The sequence below is a fragment of the Homo sapiens genome, chromosome 9, assembly GCF_000001405.40.
Source record: "Homo sapiens chromosome 9, GRCh38.p14 Primary Assembly".
In the NCBI taxonomy this organism is placed as follows: domain Eukaryota; kingdom Metazoa; phylum Chordata; class Mammalia; order Primates; family Hominidae; genus Homo; species Homo sapiens.
In genome coordinates this window covers 76,130,300-76,155,685 of record NC_000009.12, presented here as the reverse complement: position 1 = coordinate 76,155,685, position 25,386 = coordinate 76,130,300, and the positions used below count along the sequence as shown (strand labels likewise).

At 37.5% G+C, this 25,386-nt stretch overlaps 1 protein-coding gene across 9 annotated transcripts in view; it reads right to left on the bottom strand.

Moving 5' to 3' along the window:
• The window catches only part of PCSK5 (proprotein convertase subtilisin/kexin type 5), a 473,167-nt gene that overhangs the window by 207,290 nt on the left and 240,491 nt on the right, over nt 1-25,386 (bottom strand). For 7 of the 9 annotated variants that reach the window (XM_047423454.1, NM_001372043.1, XM_011518769.4 and 4 more), the window contains exon 10: nt 21,474-21,577. The exons of 1 other annotated variant lie outside the window; for it this stretch is intronic. In XM_047423454.1, coding sequence (XP_047279410.1) covers nt 21,474-21,577 — 104 coding nt within the window. One more of the 9 variants, XM_011518770.3, reaches the window with a different exon arrangement.

Sequence of the window (25,386 nt, the reverse complement as noted above, 5' to 3'; positions counted from 1 at the left end):
ATTTGTCAATCCATCTGCCCTTCTGTCCATCCATCCATCCATTCATCCATTCATCATCCATCCCTCCATCCATCCATCATTTCCTGAATGCCTTTGATGTACCACACACTGTTATCAGGCACTGCACTTTTATCTGTGCCATCAATTGCATTGCCAATTAACTCTCTCTGTCAGCATATGTCTTTTTACTCCAGCTGCATTATAAACTGCTTGATGACAGCAACTGGGTCTTGTTTCTTTATATGTTCTATGTTAACAGAACTTGATGCACATAGAGGACAAATAAACTATAGTATATAAAAACGAACACTGTGCTAGGTTGAAAAAATTACTGCCTTAATTATGCGATTTGCTAATCACATAATTCTTAGCAAACCAGAAAATAATACACAATTTCCTTGTTTGGGGATGTTATGATCTATCTCATCTACATTATTAAGTTCACTGAGCTCTATGTGAGAAAATCTGTGTAAAGAAACATATGAATGTAAGGTCTCCTTACTTTAATATCAGGTACTTAGCCAGATAGGACATATTAAATAAAAAAAGTAAACCTATTTTGCTATGGCACGGATAAATGTGGGAGTTTTATACAGGTACTTCTGCAATTTTTATTATTTTTTTAAATTAAAAAGTAAGCATATTCATTTTAAAACATCTTATCCAGAAAATAAACAAAATGAAAATTATCAAAAACCTGATCACAAGTTGATAAGTTTTATGAACAATTCTGAATATTTAGTTTTAGTTCCGTAACATCATGAGGGGTAATTAAAAAGGGACAGAGGTACTCACATGATACAGAAGAAATGTCAAATTTGGGCTTAAGGAACTAAACTGTGGAGATCTTTTGTAAAAGTTCATGAGAATCATTATGTTCTTACTCATCATTTAACCATAGCCTATATACCAGGTCATCATGGACAGTTGATGGTATTTTTCCCCTACCCTGGGGAAATTGAAATTTTTACCAAAGATGTTATGTCAGGAGCTCTACCTCCGATCAGTCCTTAAATATACCCCATGCTAGTGTCAAGTGGTTTTAAACTAGCACAACTCATCATTTTATTTCAGTTTAGGGAAATAAGATGAAAGATTCGATTGGCATGTTGGGGGCGTGGAGAAGGGAGGTGGGGACTTGGACAGGGCCAGGGCTTTGAGCTGTCACTGCAATACCAGGTACGTGCCCCACCTGAGCGCCCATGCTTGCACTCAGCTGCTCTGGCTCCTGTTTTCACTCTCCCCTCCTCCAGAACTGTCCACCTAACAACCATGAGGACATAAATTAACATGAACAATCAGATACAGCAAACACTTCATGCCTGTTAACCACTTAAGTAGAAAAGCACCTTGAGACTTTATGAAGGCCATAAATTTGTTTCCTTTTCCAATTCAATTTCTACCCTCCAGAGACAATGTCTGTTCATGAAACACTCAAAGTAGATGCTCGGAAGAGAGGCTGACTAGCTACAGTTAAACTGCAGACTGGTCAACCGAAAAAAACTTCATACTAATATAATATTAATGAACAAGAAAACTGGTTGCTGAGTAGATCAATGAAGGTCACTAAGTCAATAAGGGAAATTGCATAATAAATGTGTTGGGCAGAGGAACTCCCTCAAAATCTGGTGTGAATACGGGAAAGAGCCATTATGCAGTTTGGAAGCACTAACAATTTTTTATATACAATTTTCATACTCAAAATGACCTGTAAAGAGAGAAACATTGACGTTTTTGGTGACCATTTGAGTCAAGTCTGTCTTGCACATCTACTGTTACCCTGAGGGGCTCCCAAGGGTTCAGAATATGATTCTCTCCAGGGGCTGTGAAATGCCTGGCTTGGAGCAGGGCTTTCATAAATATTTGTGAAATGAATGAATGGTGCCTAGAAGAGAAATGTTATTTAATTCACCAAGTGTCATAAAGCGTTTACCAGGGAATTGTAAGGGGAAATTAAGAGGCCTGTTCTTTTTATTACTGATTTCTGTAAAGGCACCCTTAACGTTTGAAATTTACTCAAGGATAGAGCCAATATTCACATTTTACAATGTACAATTATAGCAAATATACCATGCAAACAGTTGGTTACGATACGGCCATTCCATAACGAAAGTAATCTTATTTATGCACATTTCTCACACCCAGTTCAGAGCAAAAGCTGAGCCTGAATATAATTTTATGACGATCAAGTGGAAGCCACTCTGTGCAAGCACTGTGTAAAATGCAAAATTCCATGAAATCAGAGCACTATTAACATTGGTGTGAACAGGAATCCCGACCAGTTCAAATAGAATTTTTCATTCCTAAGAGTGGGGGCAGAAACATTCAATTCAGTTTTAATCTTAGTTAAAATTCAAAAATCAAATATTAAAAACATATTGAGGGAACAAGTTATGTATACAGAATAATTAAAGATCTTGAAGCAGAGTTACTGGAGTACATTTCAGAAAGTAAATTTATTTTTTAGTGGAGTGAGGTAGGACAGGCTCTGTTTCAATAAAGGAGGTTTGCAAAACTTGCCTACTGTTATATCTGTTCCTTTAGAGTTCAGGGCTGCTTACATTTTGATAGGTATAAGATATCAGTTGAGGTCTCACAAATAGGCTCATTTATGCACATAAGCTCAGGAAAGCCGTTTCATCTTGCACCAGAAGTACAGCTAGTTTTTATTCAAAGCTATCCAAAGGCTTCCCTGCTTGGAATAGTCAGATGGACAAGAGAACACAGGAAAACAGTTAATATTCTCTGGCAGGTATATTCTTATTTTCTGATGAGACCGGAAGTGCTGAGAGAAGATAATTGTTAGGCGCACAAGTAGGTAATTGCATAGTTTGAAAGCAGATTCAGTTAATATACGTAACAGCTTTGGCTAAGAGGCCTAAAAGACTCTATTCTAAAGATAAGCTAGAAAGCTCAGCAGGAAAAAAAATAGAAGTTTCTGGGCATAAGAAGCTGTAAGCAGGAAAATTGGGTATATGTTCATCTCTTTTAGTGGACTGTCCTTACTGGAGCCAGCTATTTAACATTTTTTAAAAATTACACTGAATGGATATTTCATGATGACACTAACACGATTATTAGTAAATCACTCTATAAGGAATTGACTGGTTGAAAACAGTTTGAGCTTCCTAAAGTGAAAGAGGACCTTTCTGCTAAAACACAGTGTTATGCAGCATCCCGCAAACAAATAAATAAAATAGGGCAAACAAATAAAATAAGGCAAACAAGCAGCAACAAAAACTCTCTCCAAGGAGCCTAGGAGAAACTTTAAATTTTGCCTATACCTGAAAAAATGCAACTTAGTAACCACTATCCATTACTGAGTATTTAATGTAAAAGCCCAGCTAAAATATCTCCTATTCCTTATGACCAGGGAGAGTAAATGTCCAGATTTGCACAGGACTGTCTGATGTTAGCACTGAAATGCTTGTGCCCTGGGAATTCCCTCATTCCTGGGCAAACCAGGAGACTGGTCACCGTACGTGCAACTGAAATCAGAATGTGACAGTACTATGGAGAGAGAGAGAGTACTCTCCCAGCTGTTAATATCAATAATCTAGTTCCTAGAGGGCAGTCAGGCATCCTGCACCTACATTTCTATTTGTTCGGATGCACATAACCATCAAAATATGAAACGTGGCCGATAAATTAGATTCAATTATTTGATTATTCGAAAGCATCAGTTTCAATATACTTCACCAATATAAGCTAATAATTGATCCAATTAATTATTATATCACTCAGGTTGTAAAGCACCTACTCTGTATTCAACACCATACTCAACAGTGAGATCCAAATGCAACAGAAAATAATTTGTGTTCTCACTCAAGTAGAAGGTGAGACAAGAATAACTTTATAATTTGAGAAACAATTAAAAGCACCAAACTGCATAATTACTGTAAGTATAAAAGGACATCCAAAGAGTAAGAAATCAGTCAAATACAAGGGCTATCAAGCAACCAGGTGTATAGTAAGTACTCAATCCATGTGAGCCAAGATCTGCAGTTAAGGTAACCTGAGGGGAAAGTGATCCATATTTGGATTGTGCTTTCATGCATGTGTAGGATTTAGTTAGGTGGAGGACGAAGGTAGCACATCGCAGGGGCCAGGACTGAGCATCCTGGTTAGATAATTAAGTCTTTCTGTGGTTCGTTGAGGCACAGAGGAAACCAGCATTCCTGCAGTCGGGTGAATGGTCAGCAGGGGAAGGGGAGAGTGGTAAGTGTGCAGGGAATAGAGGGTGAGACCAGACTGCAGGAGAACTCAAAGACAACCATGATTGCTGGGTGTCAGCTGCCATCAATCAAGTTGTTGCTATTCTCATCTACCTATAAGTAAACCACCAGAATAAAAGGTAGTTACCCAAATTCCCTTCTTGAGGAGGGCTGCTTGATCTGTGGGCTGGGTAGAAATTCCGAACCAGAGATCAAAGAGCTGCCTGCAGCTGTTGCAGTCCTAGCACCTTTGGATTCTTTGATCCTCAATGTGCTGAACCACCTGCTCTGAAATAACTGCTCCCACCAGGGACCCTGTGCCTCCCTCACCTACTAATCAAACCAGGCCAAATGTGCAGGACAGGAGGAGAGCATGAAACTGAGAGGACCTGGGACGCTTTCCCAAGTTGCCACGTCCCACACGCATAATGTAAACACCTAAGTATAGTTTTTTTTTTTTTTTAATGTAAAAAGAAACAGCTAAATATGAAAACAAAATGAAACTTCCTACGGAAGAAAGAAAAAGTGGGAAGTGATACTTTTCAGTCTCATGTCGGCAGTTTCACACCTAAATATCTGATAGTGGAAAGCCAGAACGCTCCCAGAAACACTTACTTCTTCCTCTGTCTTATTCCCTTCCTCCGCTACCTCTTCTTCGCGTACTCTTATATTTCAGTGCGAAAGGAGCATGAGCTTCTTAGAGAGAGATTCAGAACTATAGTTGCAATGTTTTCTTCTGCTGCTCAGTGCAAAAATGCAGACTCCCTTGGGGTAGTAAAACGTAGCAGCTGGCACCTGTGTTCTGCTGCCTGGTATTTATTTATTATTTATTTATTTAGAGATGGAGTTTCACTCTTGTTGCCCAGGCTGGAGTGCAATGGTGTGATCTCGGCTCACTGCAACCTCTGCCTCCCAGGTTCAAGCAATTCTCTTGCCTCAGCCTCCCCAGTAGCTGGGATTACAAGCATGTGCCACCACGCCTGGCTAATTTTGTATTTTTAGTAGAGATGGGGTTTCACCATGTTGGCCAGGCTGGTCTCGAACTCCTGACCTCAGGTGATCCGCCCGTGTCAGCCTCCCAAACTTTTGGGATTACAGGTGTGAGCCACTGCGCCCGGCTGCCTGGTTTGTTTTTATTTTTCCTTTGCTCTTCCTAAAATCTCAGGCTCTCATAACAACTCCAGCCAGATCCAAACATGCCAGCCGTCACCAGTGCTACTGAGAACTTGCACATGGAAAGTTTCCAGATACTGTCTCCTGGGCCTGCACTTCAAAGCTACTCTTGGGGATGGGTTTGGTCAGCAGCTGTACATAGTCAGACAGGCTCTTTAGTACAGACTAAGGAAATGGAGTTCAGGAAAATACTGCTGAGCTCCTCTTCTCCACGCACTATGTACTTCATTATACACATATAGGAATATAATGTTTATATATACACACACAATTTATTATATTCTGTATGAACATACAGAAACATATTTATTACTATTTGTTTCATTTGCAGAGTTAAAACAAGAAGGAGATATGTCTGCTTTCTGTCAAGGGCCTCTATCCATTTTAAGAAAAGAAAAAAGTGTCAGATTATTTTCTTATTTTCTTCTGACCAGTCTTCATTTATTTGCTCCCAGCATGGTTACAATAGGCAAGTAATTTGCTTAAGATAATTGATGGGTATTTCCTGAACAGGAGTAGGAAAACTACTATACCAGCTTGGGGAGACCCAGCCATGTAACCCACATCATATCCAGATCCCATTTTTGCTTGTTTTTAGGAATGACTGTCTGGACAAAGATGAGAACAAGATAAAAAATGTACTACAAGGGCCTTTGGGTAAAGGCTAGTTGAAGATTAGATTGACCATATGTCAGTTCCCCAGCCTAGATCTTCTTGATGTAAAACTTGAGCAAACAATGAATGAAATGGGATTTTGGTTAGCCGGCAGCCAAAATTCCTATTTGTGGATTATTTACATATTACTTTTAGATAATTCTTTATTTAATTTTCCTTTAGTTTTGCTTTGCTTTTCCCTTAAGTTCTCCTAAGATAAGGGAATAGAGAATTTAGTTGACATTTATTTCAAGTGAGTGCCTGTTTACTCAGTGGTTAATAGTAATTACAAAGATTTGGTTATTTCATCCAGCTACACATCCATCAGCTGACCTCACAAGGAGCCTTCTTCACCCACTGTTGGAGGTGATGATGGCAAACAAAGAAAAATTATTCCTTGTCACTGGGAATGTCACTATTTCACTGGGAAGAAAGCTACCACATATCCTTCTCAGTTTCTGCCACTATGTAGGCTTCTCAGGAGCATTCCCTTTTATTTTCATAAAACTCAAATGATTTTTAAGCTTAATGGATGTCAGTAGGGAAATTTCTGTAAAATTTACGAAAAGTAAGCCATTACTGAGAACTGGATGTTCTTTTAGAAGAAATAAGACTTGAGATGGCTCTTAAATCCTTCAGTAAGATTTGGATTCATGGAGAGAAGGTAATGAGACCAGAATATTTGGAATGGTGACATTTTCAAGGAAGCTGTGTGGTCCTGGAATGCACGGCTGGATTTACTCTGGAGGCAATGAGGGCCAACGATCAAGGAAATGACATAATTGAATTGATATTCTGGAAAGATTAATCTGGGATTTGTTATACGGGATATCAGAGGCAGAAGGACTAAGGCAGGGAACCTATTGCAATGGTGCAGGCATGTGAGATCATAAACCAGGTTATGGAAATGGTGAAAGAAATGAGAGATCAGGTAAGGAAGAAGCAATGGAGTTTTGCAATTAAAACTGGAGGTGACCAAGGAGTCAGGAACAGGGTGATGGACAGAAGGGTATCCCCTGTCAACAGAGGCCAGCTTTGGGGAGAAGTTGTTTTGTGAAAGATGACTGATGGCTTCTGTTTTAGAAGTTCTTAGCTGTAAATGACATAGAGAGGGCCTTGTGCAGAGATTCTAGATCGGTAGTGGATGAAGTCAATGTTGAAGACGTAGAATTGAAAATCTTTGGTGAAGACATGATCCTTGTAACTGAAAAGAAGGCAGATATGTGAAAGAAAAGCAGTGGCATTAAGAGGATGGGAGAGGAAAGGAGAGAGGGAGAGAGAGGGAGAGAGAGGGAGAGAGAAACTCCCTCCCTCTCTCTCTCCCTCTCTAAGCAACAGACTTCAGGGAATGGCTAAGGTTAAAGAAAGGGAGAAAAGAATAAGTAAAGAGCCAAAGAACCAGGGCTGTATCTTTGCATCATTAAAAACAAAGAGAGATCTAGACCGGGTTGATCTAGAGCATGAATCCTAGAGGAAGACAATAGGTCTTCCGATTTGGCAAGCAGGAGATGGGTCAAAGTTGTAGAATAATTTCCCTTCAAAGGTGGAAGTAGAAACAATAAAAGTAGAAACAAGATTGCAAAGAATTACAGAAGGACTGAATGAACTAAGGAAATGGACGCAGCTAATTCAGACTACTTGCAGGGAATTTTTAGCTGTGAAAGGAGGGAGGGAACAAAGGCAGTAGAATGGAAAAGGTTTTCTTTTTCTTTTCTCCCCCTTTACGAGTGATACAAAGTTTGAAAACATAGGGTCATGGTCCAATTGACAGAAAAAAGAACAGATGTGGCTGGGAGCAAATGGCTCAGCAACTGACAAGAGATGTTTGGGGAAAACCTTTCACAACTTCCTTATTGAAACAGCAGGAAAAACACAATTTGAGAGACTATTTTTTTGTTTCTTCCAGGGATGGCACTTTATTCTTCTAAGGATGGCACTTCCAGATGCACAGGAGAGAAGATAATTCATTACATATGGGGGGCGACTTGGGACAGTAGTCCTCAAACTTGCATGTGTATCGGAATCACCCAGGACTTGCTAAAGCACACATTTCTCAGTCCCAGTGATTCAGGAGTTTTGAGGTAAGGCCCAGAATGTGAATTTCTAACATGCTTTCAGGTGATGCTGGTATATTGTTGGTCCGGGGACCACACTTTGAGAACACTTAGGTTATTAGGGATGGCATCTCCTGGCAAAGTCTGATTAATTAGGCTAACCTCTCCAGCATAGGTCCTGAGACTCTATAGGCATGATTCTCAAATACCCCTTCCCTCATGCCAGGAGCAAAAGAAATGAGAGTTGACTGCACAGTATATGATGTCAGTATCTTTTTATATGGTTATCCCAAATATTTCTGCTTCTCTTACAGAAACATTTTGAGAAGATAAAAGTTCCCTTAATTAACCTAGACTTGCATTATCACTCACACTTCAGGGACAGATTGGTCTAGATACTTCCTTCTTTGAATGCACATTACTTAAGGCGTTAAGTACATATGGCATTGTTAGGAAAGAATCAGGGTTTGACTGAGTTGAGATGAAAAATCATGCTCAGTGTACAAAGGTGAAAACAGAAAATGCACTGACTTGTCTATTTCTGAATCCTACTGCCCCTACAACTGAAGCACATTTAATGCATTGAGCATGCTTCACAAAATGAGAGGCTGAGGGGAAATTTTATAGGGGAGGCAAAATTCATATCTTACATATGTATTTTATTACACAGTAGCTAATAAAATCTTCACAATGATCTTATTAGCAAGATGGTATTATTCACATTTTCTAGCTGAAGAAACTAGGTCTCATGAACATGAAAAGAAGTTGTGCAAAGTCATAGAAACTCAAGCTCAAGTCTTCAGAATTTCTTTCTACTATATATTTATCCATTGATTACTGTGGTCTACAAGACATACAGTATTTCTTTCCACTAAGGTACTCAAATCAATCATAATCCTCAGAATAATCCTGCAAGGTAATAAAGGGGGAAAACATATGAGGAAATCATCTACATAACTTATCTTTTCCAAGTCAACCACACAAAGTACTGCTCTCATCTTCAAAACTTCAGAACTCATTAAAACATCATGTGCAATATATATATACACATATATATATATACATACATGTATATATACATATTTATTTATTTATATGTTGGACTTGGAAGGAAAGTTTAACATCTGGTCCCTAACACTTTCCCATATTCTTGCTGAGAAATGACCTTCTTCAGTCATTTCTATCAGGGATTTTCTGTGAGTGTGAAGATATTAATATGGAAAAGATACTTTATTTTATATTCACGCTTTGGCTATTTTTTTTTATTAGAGCTAACCAGGCACTTATAGATGGAAGAATGACATTGAGTATCAAAGAGCAACTTCCCATTTGTTAACATCCAGCAGTGATCACAATAGCTTTCTTTTTGGCTCTTTCAAGGATGACTTTGGAAATTTCAGGGGGAACTGTGTCTTCTGGTATAATACCATAAAATGAAGCCTGTTGAAGCCATTACTGGGACATGTGATAGAAGTTTAATTGCTTTGAAATGCCAAAGGCTAGCAAGATGTGAGCATGTGTAAAGAGACTGAATTGAGATTCTAAGAAAAAAAAAAAGAGTCTGGATCTATTTATTTCCCAGAAGATGTATCCAGATGGATTCTGCAAAGCAACTGCCTGGAGTCTCACTTTATAGTGCTAGGTGCACTGGCCTTGGAAGTCATGCATAGAACCAGGGAAGGATTAATTTTCAGCATTTCTTTTTGAGCCTTTGGATTTGGTTTATATTACAGACATTGGCACCAATACAAAGATCTCTCTAGATAACAAAATAGGATAGGCTAAGCCATCTTTAGTAAAATTAAATTTGGAAAAGATGTAATCATAAGCCCCCTTTCATCTTGTTTATTTGGGCCCTCTTATTGATCCTCAACTAGTTTCCACAGTGCCCACTTACCATGGTCTCAGTGTGGTCACAGCAAGTTAGAGCCCTCTGTCCCTGATGTGGGATATGAAACTGGTGCTGCAGTCTGTGCTAGGAATATCTGATGCCAGAATCCAAACTGATATGCATGTATTAATTTCAATAAGAGAGTTTCTCCTGTTTACCTCAATCACAGTTTATTCCTTTCACATTTAAAGCTCTATGCCTTGGTAGAAAAAATGAGCTGGGGGGGAGGTGGTATTTTCACAAGACAGGTTGACGATAATCATGGAAGACTTCAAATGAAGCCTTTTCACCGCTGCTCTGGGCTCACGTATCCAACATATGCCAATGTTTACAAGCACTCCACCCCAAATATGAAACTTCTACTGGAACTCAAATGAAAGAATCATACATTTGAATTCATGAAGCTTCCATCATTTTTGTTGAATGTAAAAAAAAGTACCTGAAAAGAATTATAGATTTGTGCTTGGCACTTATGATCACTTAAGAGTCTGAGATTTTACTTCAAACTTTGTTTAGAGAGCTGGTGATAAAGATAGTGATGAAATAGCCACAGATATTGCAATCTTATTTTTTTTAAGATGGAGTCTTGCTCTGTCGCTCAGACTGGAGTGCAGCGGCACAATCTTGGCTCACTGCAACCTCTGCCTCCCAGGTTCAAGCGATTCTCCTGCCTCAGCTTCCTGAGTAGCTGGGATTACAGGCACCCACCACCACACCCAGCTAATTTTTTATTTTTAGTAGAGATGGGGTTTCACCATGTTGGCCAGGCTGGTCTTGAACTTCTGACCTCGTGATCCGCCCACTTCGGCCTCCCAAAGTGCTGGGATTAGAGGCATAAGCCACCACTCCTGGCCAGCTATTGCAAAATTTTATTTGACTCTAGTAACACTGAGTTATTTTGCCAATGAAGAAACAGGTTCTGTGGGTATCAAGACTGAAGCAATGGCTGCAGATTAAAATGAACAGAACCATCTCTGGATGCATACTTCTTAAAAGATACCTGTGCCTTTGTTAGCTCTGGAAGAAATCACAACAGAATTCCATGCAACAGGGATGCCCATGTGGGACTTCTGTCGATTAGAGAAAGGTACCTCTTTCCTTAAGGTGGACATCATCCCACTGCAGGGCACATTCCTTGGTGACTGGATCCAAGGCCAGATTTCTGTCCCCACCCACTCAACCCTTTAGTTTGGCTCCCTTGTGCAGTTAACAACCTATGCAACCAGGTGTGGCAGCTCTGTCAAACAATCAGACATTTCTCATGTTTTTAGCTATCTTCTCTGATTCTTTCATGATATGTGACTGCAATTCAGTGGGAGTTTTAGGCCTCTAAGATGCATAGAATTGCACTTTGGAACCAAGCTGGATACATATCTTCTACTTTGGCTGTAAATATACTTCTGAAGGTAAAACATGAAAAGAAGCGGATGATTTCCTGACAAAACCATCCCATACAGTATATTAAGAAAGCATATACATTGTAACCTCCGGTGGGTTCAGAAAAACAATACAGCTTCTTAAGACTACTAAAAATTCTAAGTTGGCTTCAGGGCCGAGAAAAAGAATATGAATACAATACTTCGGAAGGAGGAAAAGTCATTTATAAACCCTAAGTGCTTCTGTCATTCTGCTTGCATAATAGGTGTACAGCAACTCAAGATGCTAACCACAATTATGTATACTTGCTCTCTTTAAATGTTTGTGGAGTTATATGGCAAATACAAAGACTGCAATTGTATGCTAAAAAGAAATTCAAATATGGGAAGTTAGATGGCTTTTCGGAAGTCATGGTGAGCAATAACAACCAACGAAAAGACTTTGGTCAAACAAAGGAAATATGTGAAGGCTTCTCAAAGCACAATTTCTGACCTGACATTTTTCAAGAAGCAATCTTCTCACCACACCCTTTGCCCGGGGTTTATTAAAGAGTCATTTCAAAAAGCACTTCTTTCTCTTAAAAAAAAAAAAAAAGTGGGATGTAGCAAAGATGATTATATATCCCAAATCTACAACTTTCCTCATTTAGAAGAAGGCCAAGAGATGATAAAAAATGTCGCTGAATGTCTCAGTCTTAAGGTCACAAATACATAATTGCATACTAAGATAATACAAAATGATCACTGCAAGACAATTTCATTTCAACCAGTCAGTTTGTTACACACATGCCATTTTGTAAGACATATCATAGGAACAATGGATTCGCACCATCAGTGTAAGAAATAATATTCTTTTTGACATCAGACTAGCAACTTGAATCAACTTGTTTGAAAGTCATTACTATCATCTAGCTCACTTTCTCAATCACCGCAGCGGCTCCAAAATGTTTTTCAAATGAAATGAGAACTCCTAACTGCAGGATTCAAGTAGCTTTGCTTTTGATTTCTTTTAGATTACTTTCCTCATCACACCATACCTGTCCTTTTTGTACACTGAGCCCTCTCTTTTGCCCCTTCCCCTGACCTGTTGCCTTCACCATGGCTGTCTCCTCCAGTTATAATTTCCAGTCCCCGAGAAACACAAACAAAAGAAGGCATTTGTTTAAACTAAAAGAAACTACGGTATTCCAGATAAGCTTGGTTCCCCAACTTTTGGTAACCCTCAAGTTCTCAAACATCTTTCACCCTCTCACTGTACTTATTTGTGCTTTATTTAGGTTAGGTGTATGACATTAATATAATTCATAATCATTGGCAGATTATGCTTTTTCCAACACTTTTGAGGCCATTTATTGTTTATTGAAATCCAAGTAATCTTATGAAAAAGAGAAAATAAGGAGGTTAATAATTTATCCAGAACCATCAACTAAAATCACTGACAATATGAAATGAAAACAATAGCCCAAATTAGAGAAAACAGACTACAAAGAAGAGAAAAGAAGTGTCACAAGAGATATGTGACTATCATGTAGTGAGTTTAATATTTGAAAGTGTTAGAGACCAAATTTCATTTCTAAAATACAAATTCCATGTTAATGGATATAGCTCTATATACATCTACATCTGTATCTCTATATAAAATATACTGGATTCTTATCTTACAAAACTCTGAACAGAATTATTAACTGAATATGTTTTATTAGAATGCATGACATATAGCTCATAAATAATTTTACTTAAGCACATACTATGAATGAAGAGGGGCATTAAATTCTTTATATGATACAATTTTCCTCATTCTTTTCTTTGCTCGCTCCACCCCAGCTAGGATGGCCTCCTTGCTTTTCTTTGAACAGGTTTTGTACATGCTATTCATCTTGCCTGAAATGCTCTATACCTAGTTAGCCACTTAGAATGCTCCCTTATTCTTCAGGGTTTCTGTTCAAATTAAAGAGGACTTTTCTGACTAATATTTTAAAATTATAATTTGTCCACATAAAGATTTTTACATAACTATTTGGAGCAGTTGTACTCATACTAACTCGGAACCAGAAACAATAAAATGTTCCATGGAAAAGTGAATGAGTATGGAAATTGTGGTATATTCATACAGTGGAATACTAGATAGCAATAAAAGAGAATGAATGCCTGATATACTTTTAAAAATTTAAAACATTACTTTTTTTAACTTTTATTTTAGGTTTAGGAGTACATATGCAGGTTTGTTATATAGGTAAACTCATGTCATGGGGCTGTGTTGTACAGATTATTTCATCCCCCAGGTATTAAGCCCAGTATCCAATAGTTATTTTTCCTGCTCCTCTTTCTCCTCCCACGCTCCCCGCTCAAGTAGGCCCCAGTGTGTGTTGTTCCTTCTTTGTGTTCACGAGTTCTCATCATTTAGCTCCCACTTACAAGTGAGAACATGTAGTATTTGGTTTTCTGTTCCTGAGTTAGTTTGCTAAGGATAATGGCCTCCAGCTCCATCCACGTTCCCTCAAAGACATGATCTCATTCTGTTTTATGGTGGGAATGCCTGACTTACTTAATGACACAGATGAACCTCAAAACTCTTATATGGCTAGAAAGAAGCCAGTTTCAAATAATTTAATTTATACGAAAGCCTACAAAAGACAATCTCATCTATAGGGACAGAAAGTAGATCAGTGGTTGCCACAGCAGGAGGAGGCTAGAGGATGAAAAAGGAGCAGAGAATAACTCGTTAGGGTGACAGAGGTTTCTATAACTCGACTGTGGTGATGGTCACATGGATGTATACCTGTGTCAAAATTCACTGAACTGTACACATAAAATAATGTGCTTTTTTATTGTATGTAAATTTACCTCAATAAAGCTGATTAAGAATGTATGAAGATTACCAGAGATACTGTATAAAGCTGGGATTCACTTCCAGGTTGTTGGACTCTGGAGCCCAACCACTGAACCACTGAGTTCAGAGCTGAGTGAATTTTTTTGTTTTAAATAAATACAAAACCTCAAATAAGAAAATGATTGTTGAATTTTAAAATAGGCTGTAAAAAGAATGTAGAGGGTTGTGTGTGTGTGTGTACTTTGCTAAGACTCTCTTGACTTAAATCATTTTTGGGCATCTTATTTTGGAACTGGATTCAGAATCCAGTTATAAGTGGTTCAATTTCATTACTTGATAGTCAAAATACACTTTTGGACTGACATCCTCTATAATCACAAGCTTAGAGCTTGACGACATATATCTTTGCCTAAAATATCAACCATAACCACAAAATATTAAGAGTTGTTGTTATTAAGAATAGTCAAAGTCATGTGCTGAAAGAAGAGTTTTACAAATATCTAGGTAAAGTCCAGCCTCATTAGAATTAGATTTGAATTTCTTCAGGTGATTACACAAAAGAGACGTCTATTTTCTCTTAAATGTAGATGCTTTTACACATTGCTAAAAATCATATTTTAAACTCACAGATTTACACTGTATATCAATTACTAGAGTTGATAGGCTGTTGATAGGCTACAATCAGTTCAGATTTCTATCATTAGTTCCTAAGTTGAAGCAATTAATTACAGCTTTAAAGATTTAGTAGGTTGGACTTAAGGTGACATTTAAACATTTAAATTAATTTGCAAAACAGAATTTAAGTATAGTTGCATTATCATTGATACACGATTAATGATTTAAAAACTTTGATGCCATATTAGTAATAATTTTATTATAAAGTCCTTGATATATTTTCTCTAGCCCACTCCAGGTAACTGAACTAATTTTCAACCCCCAAAAAATTCTAATTCACATCACAGTTCCGCATCTTTATTCTCATTTCAGGGAGTAGAAAGCTTCATGTATGAAGATATACTTTTAAGACTCTTTTTGTTTGGTATTTTCCATTTTCAAAGCACTTTTCATTCAATTCATTCTTCTCATTATGTTTAGTATTAGCTATCCACATTCCTCAAAAACCAAGGTACAAAAACTCTAATTGGCTTCCTCAAAGGCCACAGAAAATATCATTAATAGACTTTCTTCTAGAATTTAAAGGCTCTTAAGATTTTGGCAAAATCACAAAACCACTCCAAACATAGTTCTCTTCATTAACTAATTACATCTTGTATAGAGATAACAGGTAAATAGTGCAACCATCATTTTAATTCTATTTTGAGAATGGGTTTTAAGTGTGAAACCGCATGCATTTAAAACTTACAGGGATGAAAGGGCAAAACAAAATGAAACCCCCAAAAGCCTAACAAACCTAATACCACCATTCAGTCAAGGACAGGCACAGAGAAAACACCACTTTTCATTTGTAGAAAATATTTTTGAGCGTCACATATTTGGTAGGCATGAGTTGAACATTCTGATGAGACAAGTGGGCATTTTGGATGAAAGACTCTGGATTAAGCCATGACCAAGCAGAGTTTGCTATCAGGGCTTCTATATTCCCATGGAGATGTTTGGGTAAATCATCTACCAGGCAAAACAATAAGGGTAAAATTCCTGAATTCTGTGTGATTCACATTGTTTTTTTGTTTGTTTGTTTAGTTTTTGTTTTTTTGTTTTTGTAAATGAGCTAGAAGATAAGCTCATCTACACAATGGTCAATAAATACAAAAATGAAAGGGTTTCAGTCAATATGAAATGGGTATGAGTTTGCAGAGCACAATGGTAGAAAACATAGAATCTTAAAAAAATATGTTAGGCGGCATTTCCAGGGGGCACATTTTATTAGGTGGAATCAAATGTATTTACTTCCCTCTGTCTTTTCAAGTAGGAAGGGCCTCATTTCTGCAAGTGGGATCAAGACTGGAGTCAAGGGACTAATTTTTCTGATAATACCACCTCAGACACTGACCAGATGAGTACCACTTCACTTCAACCTTTCTTTAAAACCACAATGTACACATTACCAATTAAAGTGCCTTATGTAGCTTTAATCATAGCTACCAACAGTGTATCAGCATAGTAGGTGGCGAAGATGGAATATTATTTGTACAGTGAAATAATAAAGGAAAATGAAACTTTACCCTTTCAAATGGTAACACATCAGAAATCACTTTATACTCAAAACACAACTCAAAAGCACATTTCAAAACCTTTCATTTTGATTGAACACACAGCATGCTTAATGGTTTCAGCACTTTGAATTCTTTTTAATAAGTGTTACAAACTGAAAGCAAGACAGGTAGGTATTAAAAATATATTGGACATCTTAAAATTATCAACCCTACCAGTGGAAATAAAATGATGGCAATTAAAAGTAATACAGGTTATTAAAAGTTAAGGCCTCGGAGGCTAAGAAGTCATGTTAGACTGTCAATTGTTTTCCCCACGGTTGGTAATCAGTTAGAAATTAAAAAAAAAAAATCTAGTAGTTTAGTTGTGGTCAAAGAAAGAGTCAGTGGGGATGGGGGAGGTTTCAGCAACATGCTGGTAGAAAAAAAGAGACTTACATAGTCTGGGAGGGCAGTGAAATGGAAGGCGTGGTAACCTCTCTCACTTAGTTGTCATTTTTTGATTTTCAATGACATTTTTTTCATTCTTTCGCCTAGTAAAGATGACAGAAGGTCCTAATTTATTATCTGACGTCTATTCCTGTTCCTAGATTTAAGAGAGTTTAACTGTATACAGTCATATAATCCAATATAAACACTTTGAAAAAAAGAAAACTAGATCACTGATGTTGCATGCATTCAATTATAATTATAACTTCACACCCAAACCAAAGATAAGGACTCGGGCCAAGAATCAGCCTGCACAGCCCAGGCACTGGTGGGAGAGGTCAGTGGATTTACAGTTTCCTCAGATTATAGCACTAAAAGGGAGGAGATCACAAGAAAGAGCTAACTTCTTCCTGAAATGATACAAGCCGTAGGTTATGAAAAATGCCTGAATTAAAAGTCTTCCGCATGGCTCTATGGATCTGCATGTACTATATGCCCAAATGGAGCTGGTCAAAATACACATCAGACACCACAGAAGATATTCTCTATAGCAGATGCCTTCTGCTGCCGACATTAACCTGAATTTTAGATGATGAGAGAAGGATCATCAACACTTATCTAACATGACCTGGCAGATTGTCGGGGCTTGACTAAAGAAAAAAAGAGATGGAGTGTAAATTTCTGTTTCTGTATGTAAGTTACACCAGGGCAGGTCAGATTAGTCAACGCCATGGTGTCCCTGACGTTTCTTCCCCTCCCACTTTCTGCGCTCACTTCAACATGTGTTGGGTTGGCATGCTGAAAGTGCTCAGGAAATATTGGTAAATAAATAAATGAAGAGATAACATCCATTAAATTCCAGGAAGGAAAACCAGCTGGAATGGCAAAAGCCTTCACTTTTATGGCTAATTCATATGCTTTAGGGAACACAAGGGAGAATTAAAAAGAATAGAAAACAAAACAAAACAGAAAAGACTTTTCCTAAGCAGAAAGGGAAGGGATCAAGGGGAGGAAAGAAATAATACTAACAAAACCCCAAACAGCTGAATGCCAAAGTCACCTTCTGGCATTGCAAATATTGGTCAGAAGCAAAATACTGGAATTTGGATTTCAGTTCTCTGGTAGCAGAATATCACATCTGTTCATCTGGTCTAAGGCAAATAATTCCCTATTCTCATGGGCAATCTAAAGTAGATTCTCTGATAGGTACATGATATTTATACCATTTAATTAAAAAAACTATCTCTGGAGGAGGTTTAAAGTCAAAAGCTGTTGTCTGAAACTTAGCTAGGATTATTCACAAGATGAACAAGGCCAAACAATGTTTAGTCAGTTTCCATAGGTATGTATTCATCAGATTATGTTTATTGTGAAAAACTAATCTACCAGAAAAGATATTTTAATTATACTATGAGATTGTTATTATTATTTAAGAAACAGCAGGATAGAATAATCTTAGTTTGATTAAAATTGTTGAAAATTAAGGTGCCATTAACATAAGAATGTTTACATGTGTCTTCCCTCTCTGTGAGGTCATCTCATTACAGGGTCATTTACAGAGTGCTTTTATAAGGAGGGCACAGAAAAAGGAGAAGAAAGTTCTCTGTCCCTAGCTCATCAGTGAGCACCTCCAGGGTAACCCCACTCTCAGAGAAACAGAGATGAGTCATCAGAAAGCCACATTCTTTAGTTGTTCAAGGCCAACTTCCTGGCCTGAATGAGAATCTGTCCAAGCCAGTAGCTGCTTCAGGACGAGAAACCCTTCCCTGTTCCAGTCCATAACACATGTGGGTAAGAATGGATCAAGTCTGCCTTCAGGAGGGCTGCACACAAGTCTAGCTCACACATCATCCAGCCCTGCTGTCTGCCTAGGATGTAGGACATGGGGGTATGTCTGAAGAAATGTAAGGAGGTTGGATAAAATGGATTTGGTAGGGTTTTGGTAGAGACTATTCATTGGGGTGTTGGCTTTACTGAAGTTATCAGTGATAACAAAGACTATCAAGTCTAGTGATGTCTGAACTCCAAAACTGAGTTGTTTGCTACTCTAAGTGGCTTCTGCTTTACGTGATGAGAAAGAAATTCTGATGGGTGACGCTGATGTCCCTATTACTGGCAGGTACCTATTGAGCAATTTGTGAAATTGTTCTCCTATTTTTTTTTAAACTACTTTTCCAACAAGTTATTAATAAATTACTCAACACTGGGAAAACAAAAGTAAGCCCAAGGAAGAACAGGAGTTTTCAGATTCATTTCATACATATATTTTACTCAGTGTTAGGGCTGAGTTGGGTGGGACAAAGAAGGGCACCCAGGACCACACACTTCTGTAGGCAGGCAACTTCCGTTTTCCCAGTCTAAGGAGAAATACGTGACTATGGATTCCTGCTAAGCAAGACCTGCAAAAGCCGGCTGACCTCATTTAAATACAAGCCCTTGTTGAGCTCTTGTTGTAGGAACCTTTTCTAACCATTAGCTCTTTATTGTTCTTTCAGATGTTATTTCATAAAAAGTCATAGCATCTTTCTGCAGTCCTAGTACCCTGCATTCTCCACTTCCCCAAAGCATGTTGCTTCTCCTGCTAGCCTCTGCCTTAATCACATTTATCTGTGGGACTCTAGGGAGGGGATGGTAACGTTTAGAGTAGAGAATAACTTTTTTTTTTTCTTAAGTCATCTTATTATGATCCTGTTTAGATGAAATACGGGACTCGCCATCAACAAAATTACAAAACAATCCCACTGGGAGCCCAGCCCATTCAGAATAATTCATCTGTGAAAAAGCAAACTTTAATTGTTACTCTTGGCAGCCATCTAAGAGAAGAGTGAAATATTATACTAAATATTGCCACGTGCAATAGTAAAATACCGTTTCCTCCTTAAAGCAGTGCACAAACCCCTTTAGATTCAGGTTTGGGTCTGGTGACTTAGTCTAAACCCTCTGTCTCCCCCTCTCCTAAACCAACAGAGGTTTTCAGAAGAGCTGCATTTTTGTTAGAACCATTTGCTCTTTTTAAATTGCCAAAAAGGAATAAGTAAAACTAAGATATTTATTCGGGTTAAAGTTTCTTCAGCTTCATGGAGGTTAATGTCCTTAGTCTGTGATCCTTCTACTAAGAAGTTCATTCCAGCTTTCAACTAGCTAAGGTTATGTGTCAGCTCCTTCTCTCCCCTGCAGCCTCATGGATTTATATTGTACGAGTTGGGAGCATGTGGAAGCTAATCAAAATGAAACATACATATGGCAAATTACATCCTGGATTTTCCGGAACAACCGAAATTTCAAATAATTTTGATGTCTCCCATACAATTACAATTTTGGGATCAAATCTCCTGATTTGGGCTTCAGAGAATGCAATGCCAACGGGTATTTACAACTCTAGATTAAAAGTTCATTGAACACTGCTGCATTATATAGTTTACATGCATGGAAAGGTGTTTGATAATACTTCAAAGCAGAGAAATATTCTTTTCCTAAAAATAGAGTGAAGCTTTCTGTGAAGATATTAATCAAATAATTATTAATGTGGCACTGGTTATCTAGGATATTTATAGGTTTTGTTTCAGCATGAGTCTATAATAAATTATTTACAAGTAATTTTAAAAATATACATTCTGGCAGAAATATTTGCATATATTGCTCATATAAGGATATATAAAGATCATATGTAAGATATGATACGTAGATAATATTACTTAGCATCCAAAATGCTTAAATTATTAGGGCCCTTAAAAATTAAATGACTTGCCCAGGACCATGTTACCAACGGTCTGACCATCAGAACCTCAATTTTTAAGGAGATGTGCCCTGTGCTATGGAACACTGTATTTCATCCATACAGATATATGATGATACTAAGATTATTTGGGAATATGTTTTAAGTCTGTAGATATAAACAAATTAATGTTTGTTACAAGTTAGATTAATGAATTAAAACCTTATTATAACTTAGGTCACTTACAACTTGAGTAGATATACTAAACTTTAGGATATATGTTTTATATAGCTAATTTTATTTTTATTATAACATATATTACCTATGACAACAAATAGAATAGCTATTTTGGGAACTATGATCTGTATTAGCCATGGGAAAATATTCAGTACTTGTTACATATTGTGCACAATTGCATAAGGACTGGACATTATAAAGCTTCATTAAAATTTTTAGTTTATATAAAGTAACATTTCTTAGAATTATTACCTGCTTTTCTTTGTGGAAGATTTATAACAAACAAAAACAAAATTTGTAGAATGCATGGCCTTAGCAACTAACAGTGCTACACTAAAGTGAACAATATATATCAGTTATTATTGAAGTGGAAGTAGTCCTATAGAAGGTGAGGAATTTTAAAATACATTATTATAAATATTACTTAGATATTCAGTGACAGCAAATAGTAAACTAATCAGGGGTCCCATAGGCCGACTATACATGGGGGTTGGTCGATCTTTTAAAAAAATTGACCTATGATGTGGGAAGCCAAAGAAATCTCCCTTATCTGTGTAGTTTTAACTTAAAAAAATCAACCTGCCTTTTATTTACTAAAAGATCAAGCTCTTTGTTTGTCAGCACAAAGTTTAAAGTTTCGTTTGAGGGGTTCTGTTTCCTGCTCTCCATTTAAAATGGGGGAAAAATAAAAATATTTTGCCTGTGACAGAATATGAAAGAAGTTCTCACCCTTAAAACCAGCAGCATTGGTTTTCCAGTCATTAGCGTTCAAATGTCCCGCACGGGAAGTCCTGACAATAACATGCTGTACGTCTCTCCAGGTCAGAAACGGACTGGGGAAAGACAAGGTAAGAATCATTGTACCAAAAAAAAAAAAGATGGGGGAAGCAGAGAGTCACAAGCAAATTAAAAAAGCAAAATCAAAATGGCAAAGTACTAAAAACAAAGGGTCAGAGATTTGGGTTTGGGATAACCAAATGCCAAATGCCGCTCTTGTTCTCAACATGGAGAAGTGACATTAGTCTGTGGGAGGCAGAAAATGTAACCTTAAACTGAAGAAATAATAAGACTGTAGTCAGGGTAACTTAGTTTTTTAAAAGGGTGAGCGTTTCCGGTTTCCTCAACAAAATGGTTGCCTACTATGGTGCTGTCATCCTTTGTATAAAAGCTTGGATCATCATCATCAGATTACGATAAGCTAAAATCAAAACAGAAGGCCTCTGAAACGTTTCTTCTTTAATCATTGAATAGTTTGGTAAGTGAGCTGCAATTTACCAGAAGAACGTAGCAATGTTTAACCTTCTATGCATATATATGTGGGATATGGAAAAATCTCAACGAAACAGCATCCCAATTTTCAGCATTTTTAAGGAAGAGAACATGGTACAGAACCCAAAGCTGGGCTCCAAGGCACAGACAGCAGTAAGAGTATTCTTAATTTGCAATGGGTAGTTATTATAGTGTGTTATTAGACACCTAGTTCTTATGGCTACTAGCACTGAAGAACACAAAAGAGACTACTGAGCAGGAGATACTTTCATTGGAGAACTGCAATGCTAATCATAATCACACAGAAACAAATCCAAGCACATACAAACAGACTTTTATTCCCTTTCATAGACTATGTATATACTCGAAGCCATTTGACTCAGCGCATGCATGCAATTCTAATCAGGATACTTATTTCATTCAGTCTTGAATTCTGAGTTGTGCTGATCTTTTACTTAACTAAGAAATATGACAATTTTCATGCAGCATGTGCAGCCATTTTATTTGTTTCTCACCAGCTACCTTCACTTCAGCAACAATATTTGCAAAGGATGGGAGAGAAGATTTAGGGAAGAGGAGAAAATTACTCACTACCTGCCTTGAGGTGTGATGGGGCTTGGGGTAGTCTTTCTGCACTCTCTTTTGTAGGTGTATGGACACTGAGGTCTTTCAGGCAGAGGGAGAACTTGGTATCTTAATTGTACCTAATTTTTCATGATAGGGCCTGTATGTTTCTTCACTTTATACTACATTTTTTTCCCAATCATACTCACCACATCTATGTTTTTTAGGGTGGTCAGGGCGGCCTTCTAGTAAGAAGGGGTCTAGTGATCAGATTCTGGCTCCTTCATTTTCCATGTGAAATTAACCTCTCAAAGTCTTAGTATTCCTACTTAGAACATGGATGCTAGTATCTGCTTTATGTCGTTGTACTGATTGAATCAGTTAAAATAATGCCAAGTACTTAACCTTGTGCCTGGTGCATAAGAAGCTATTAAGAAGTGGTAGATAGCAAAGCATTTTGCTAAAATTTGCATCCACAGCTCTTATTTGGTGGCTTCAGTATGAAAGAAATGGGGAAAGAAAAGTACTATTGAGTTCTGACACTTTTTCTGTTATGGTCTCAGATTAAAAATAAAAGGAGACTGAGTCCTGCCATTTTTTAAAGTTTCCAGAGCGGGTTAAGACTGGATCTAGACTACTTGGTAAAGTTATATCAACAAAAGAACTTGAATTGTGGAAATTAAACCCCAACTACATAAACTTTAAAAATATGAGAACGATGAAAACAGAATTATTCTTGTTTTCTTAGGATACAGCACTTGTTAGGAATCAATTATAGAACCTGATAAAGCAAAAAACTTTCAAGAAAGGGAGGCAGGCTGTTTGGTGGAATCCAGGAGCAGGATGTTTTGCTTCTAAAACAAATAGCATGATTTGAGCCTTTGCTGACAAACACTAAATTCATTCACATGATCATTCAGTAGACTCAATGCACTACTGTCACGGAAATTAGAAAGTAAGTCAAGGGATAATCCTGAATGCCAGTCTCAACATAAGATGTTCTAGCTCTGCCTAAGATGGTATGTCCTAGTTATTAGAGTGAATGACAAAAATAACAAGAAAGCTTGGTCCAGAAAGACATTCTAGCCACTTATTTATGGTAAAGCAGAATCCTCCCAAATGAACATGAATGTTTTTATTTTGTCATGAGTAAACAGTGAGATACCAAAGAATACACTTAGATTTGACGAAAATATCTAAATCAACCTAGTAATTTAAAAATAACATTTGACACACAGAACTTTCACGTTTTAACTCCTTAAATTTAACTCTCCTTTAGGGAGGAGAAAAAAAGAAAAGAAGTCAATGTCTCATGTTACCTGTCACCAGGGCAAGATTTCTTCAGAAATATTAAGCAAGAAATTCTGATCATTGGGAGATCCACATTTTCCCTAGTGAAACTTAGCACTAAAAATTTAATTTTCATAACAGAACAGGGAACATTTACATTGATCTTATACCTTAAGCACCTGTATTCTGGCAGATTCAGGAAGCCTCCTGCATTCAAACTCAGACTGAAGAAATAAGAGTTACTTGTTTTCATGCTGAGTAGCAAAACCTAGTTCTTGGAGTGCTTGTAATTAGAAGGAAGAAATTAGCTTCAGGAAATTGGACCTACACATGGAAAAAGAAGGTGTTTGGATGGTTTTACTCTGATATTTGGTAATGCACAACTTCAGAAATGATCTAATTTGAAAATTTCCTGAATTTCACCAAAATAAAGTAAAGAAGATAAATTGAAAAACCAGTGGACCTGGAATCAGTAGTGTTTCTATCTGTGGGAAGATAATTAGCTCAGGAAATAGCCATAGGTTAATTTTGCTGGACATTATGGTTTATTTATTGCTAGAATCCAGAGACGACTCTTGTTTATGGATACGTCTGATTCACATCTTACTTTTCATTTGTATTTATACTCACAGGGATGATGCAGACGTGAAGACTAAGTCAAACTATGAGAGATCTCATAAACCATTTATAAAACAAATGCAGAGAGAGAAGGCTGAGTGCTCTCTGCAGGGAACTCCACAGTCCACAACCATAATTTAGGACTCCCTAATACCTATTTCTCTCTGCCAAGTATCTTGGACCCACACTCCAGTGGCCTCTGAAAACTGAGACCTCTCTGATCTCCAAGAATAGACAAACTTGTGCAACAAGAGCTTTGAAGCAAGCAACTATTGAGAGATCAAAAGTCTAACCCACCTGGAGAAAAGAACAACATCTCCCAATCCTGAGTCTCGTGACCACCGCCCTATAATAAATCACATGTAGTTATGCTACACACCCCTCAAATTTCTTCCTGGAATTAACAAATGCCCTTAAACAAAAATATATATGAAGAGAGTCACATTTATAAACACCTACAAGATATGGGTAGCCATCTATGACCTTTCAAACCAAGGAAATGAACATGACTTTCTCGGGAGTTCTGTATATGTAATCATTTATAGTTTTGCATCCTTTGCTGAACTCATAGTAATAACCAACATCTAGTGAGCACTTGGCCAGGGCCAGGCAGTGTATGTTTTATGTGCATGATTGTTGCATGATATTGAAAATCACATGACGTGGGTAACATTCTTATTCCTGTTTCACAGACGACAAAACTGAGGCTTTGAGTTACACACAGTAACTCAAATACACAGGTAGTAAGTAGAACTAGAATTCAAGCCAGCTGGACTTGGCTGTATAACTTATGCTATCAATCACCATATAACACTATTTCCAAACGGATCCACAAAGGTGAAGCAGAGACACACATCTATTTGTCAGGAAGTTCTTTGACAAATGGATCAAAAAGCCAAGT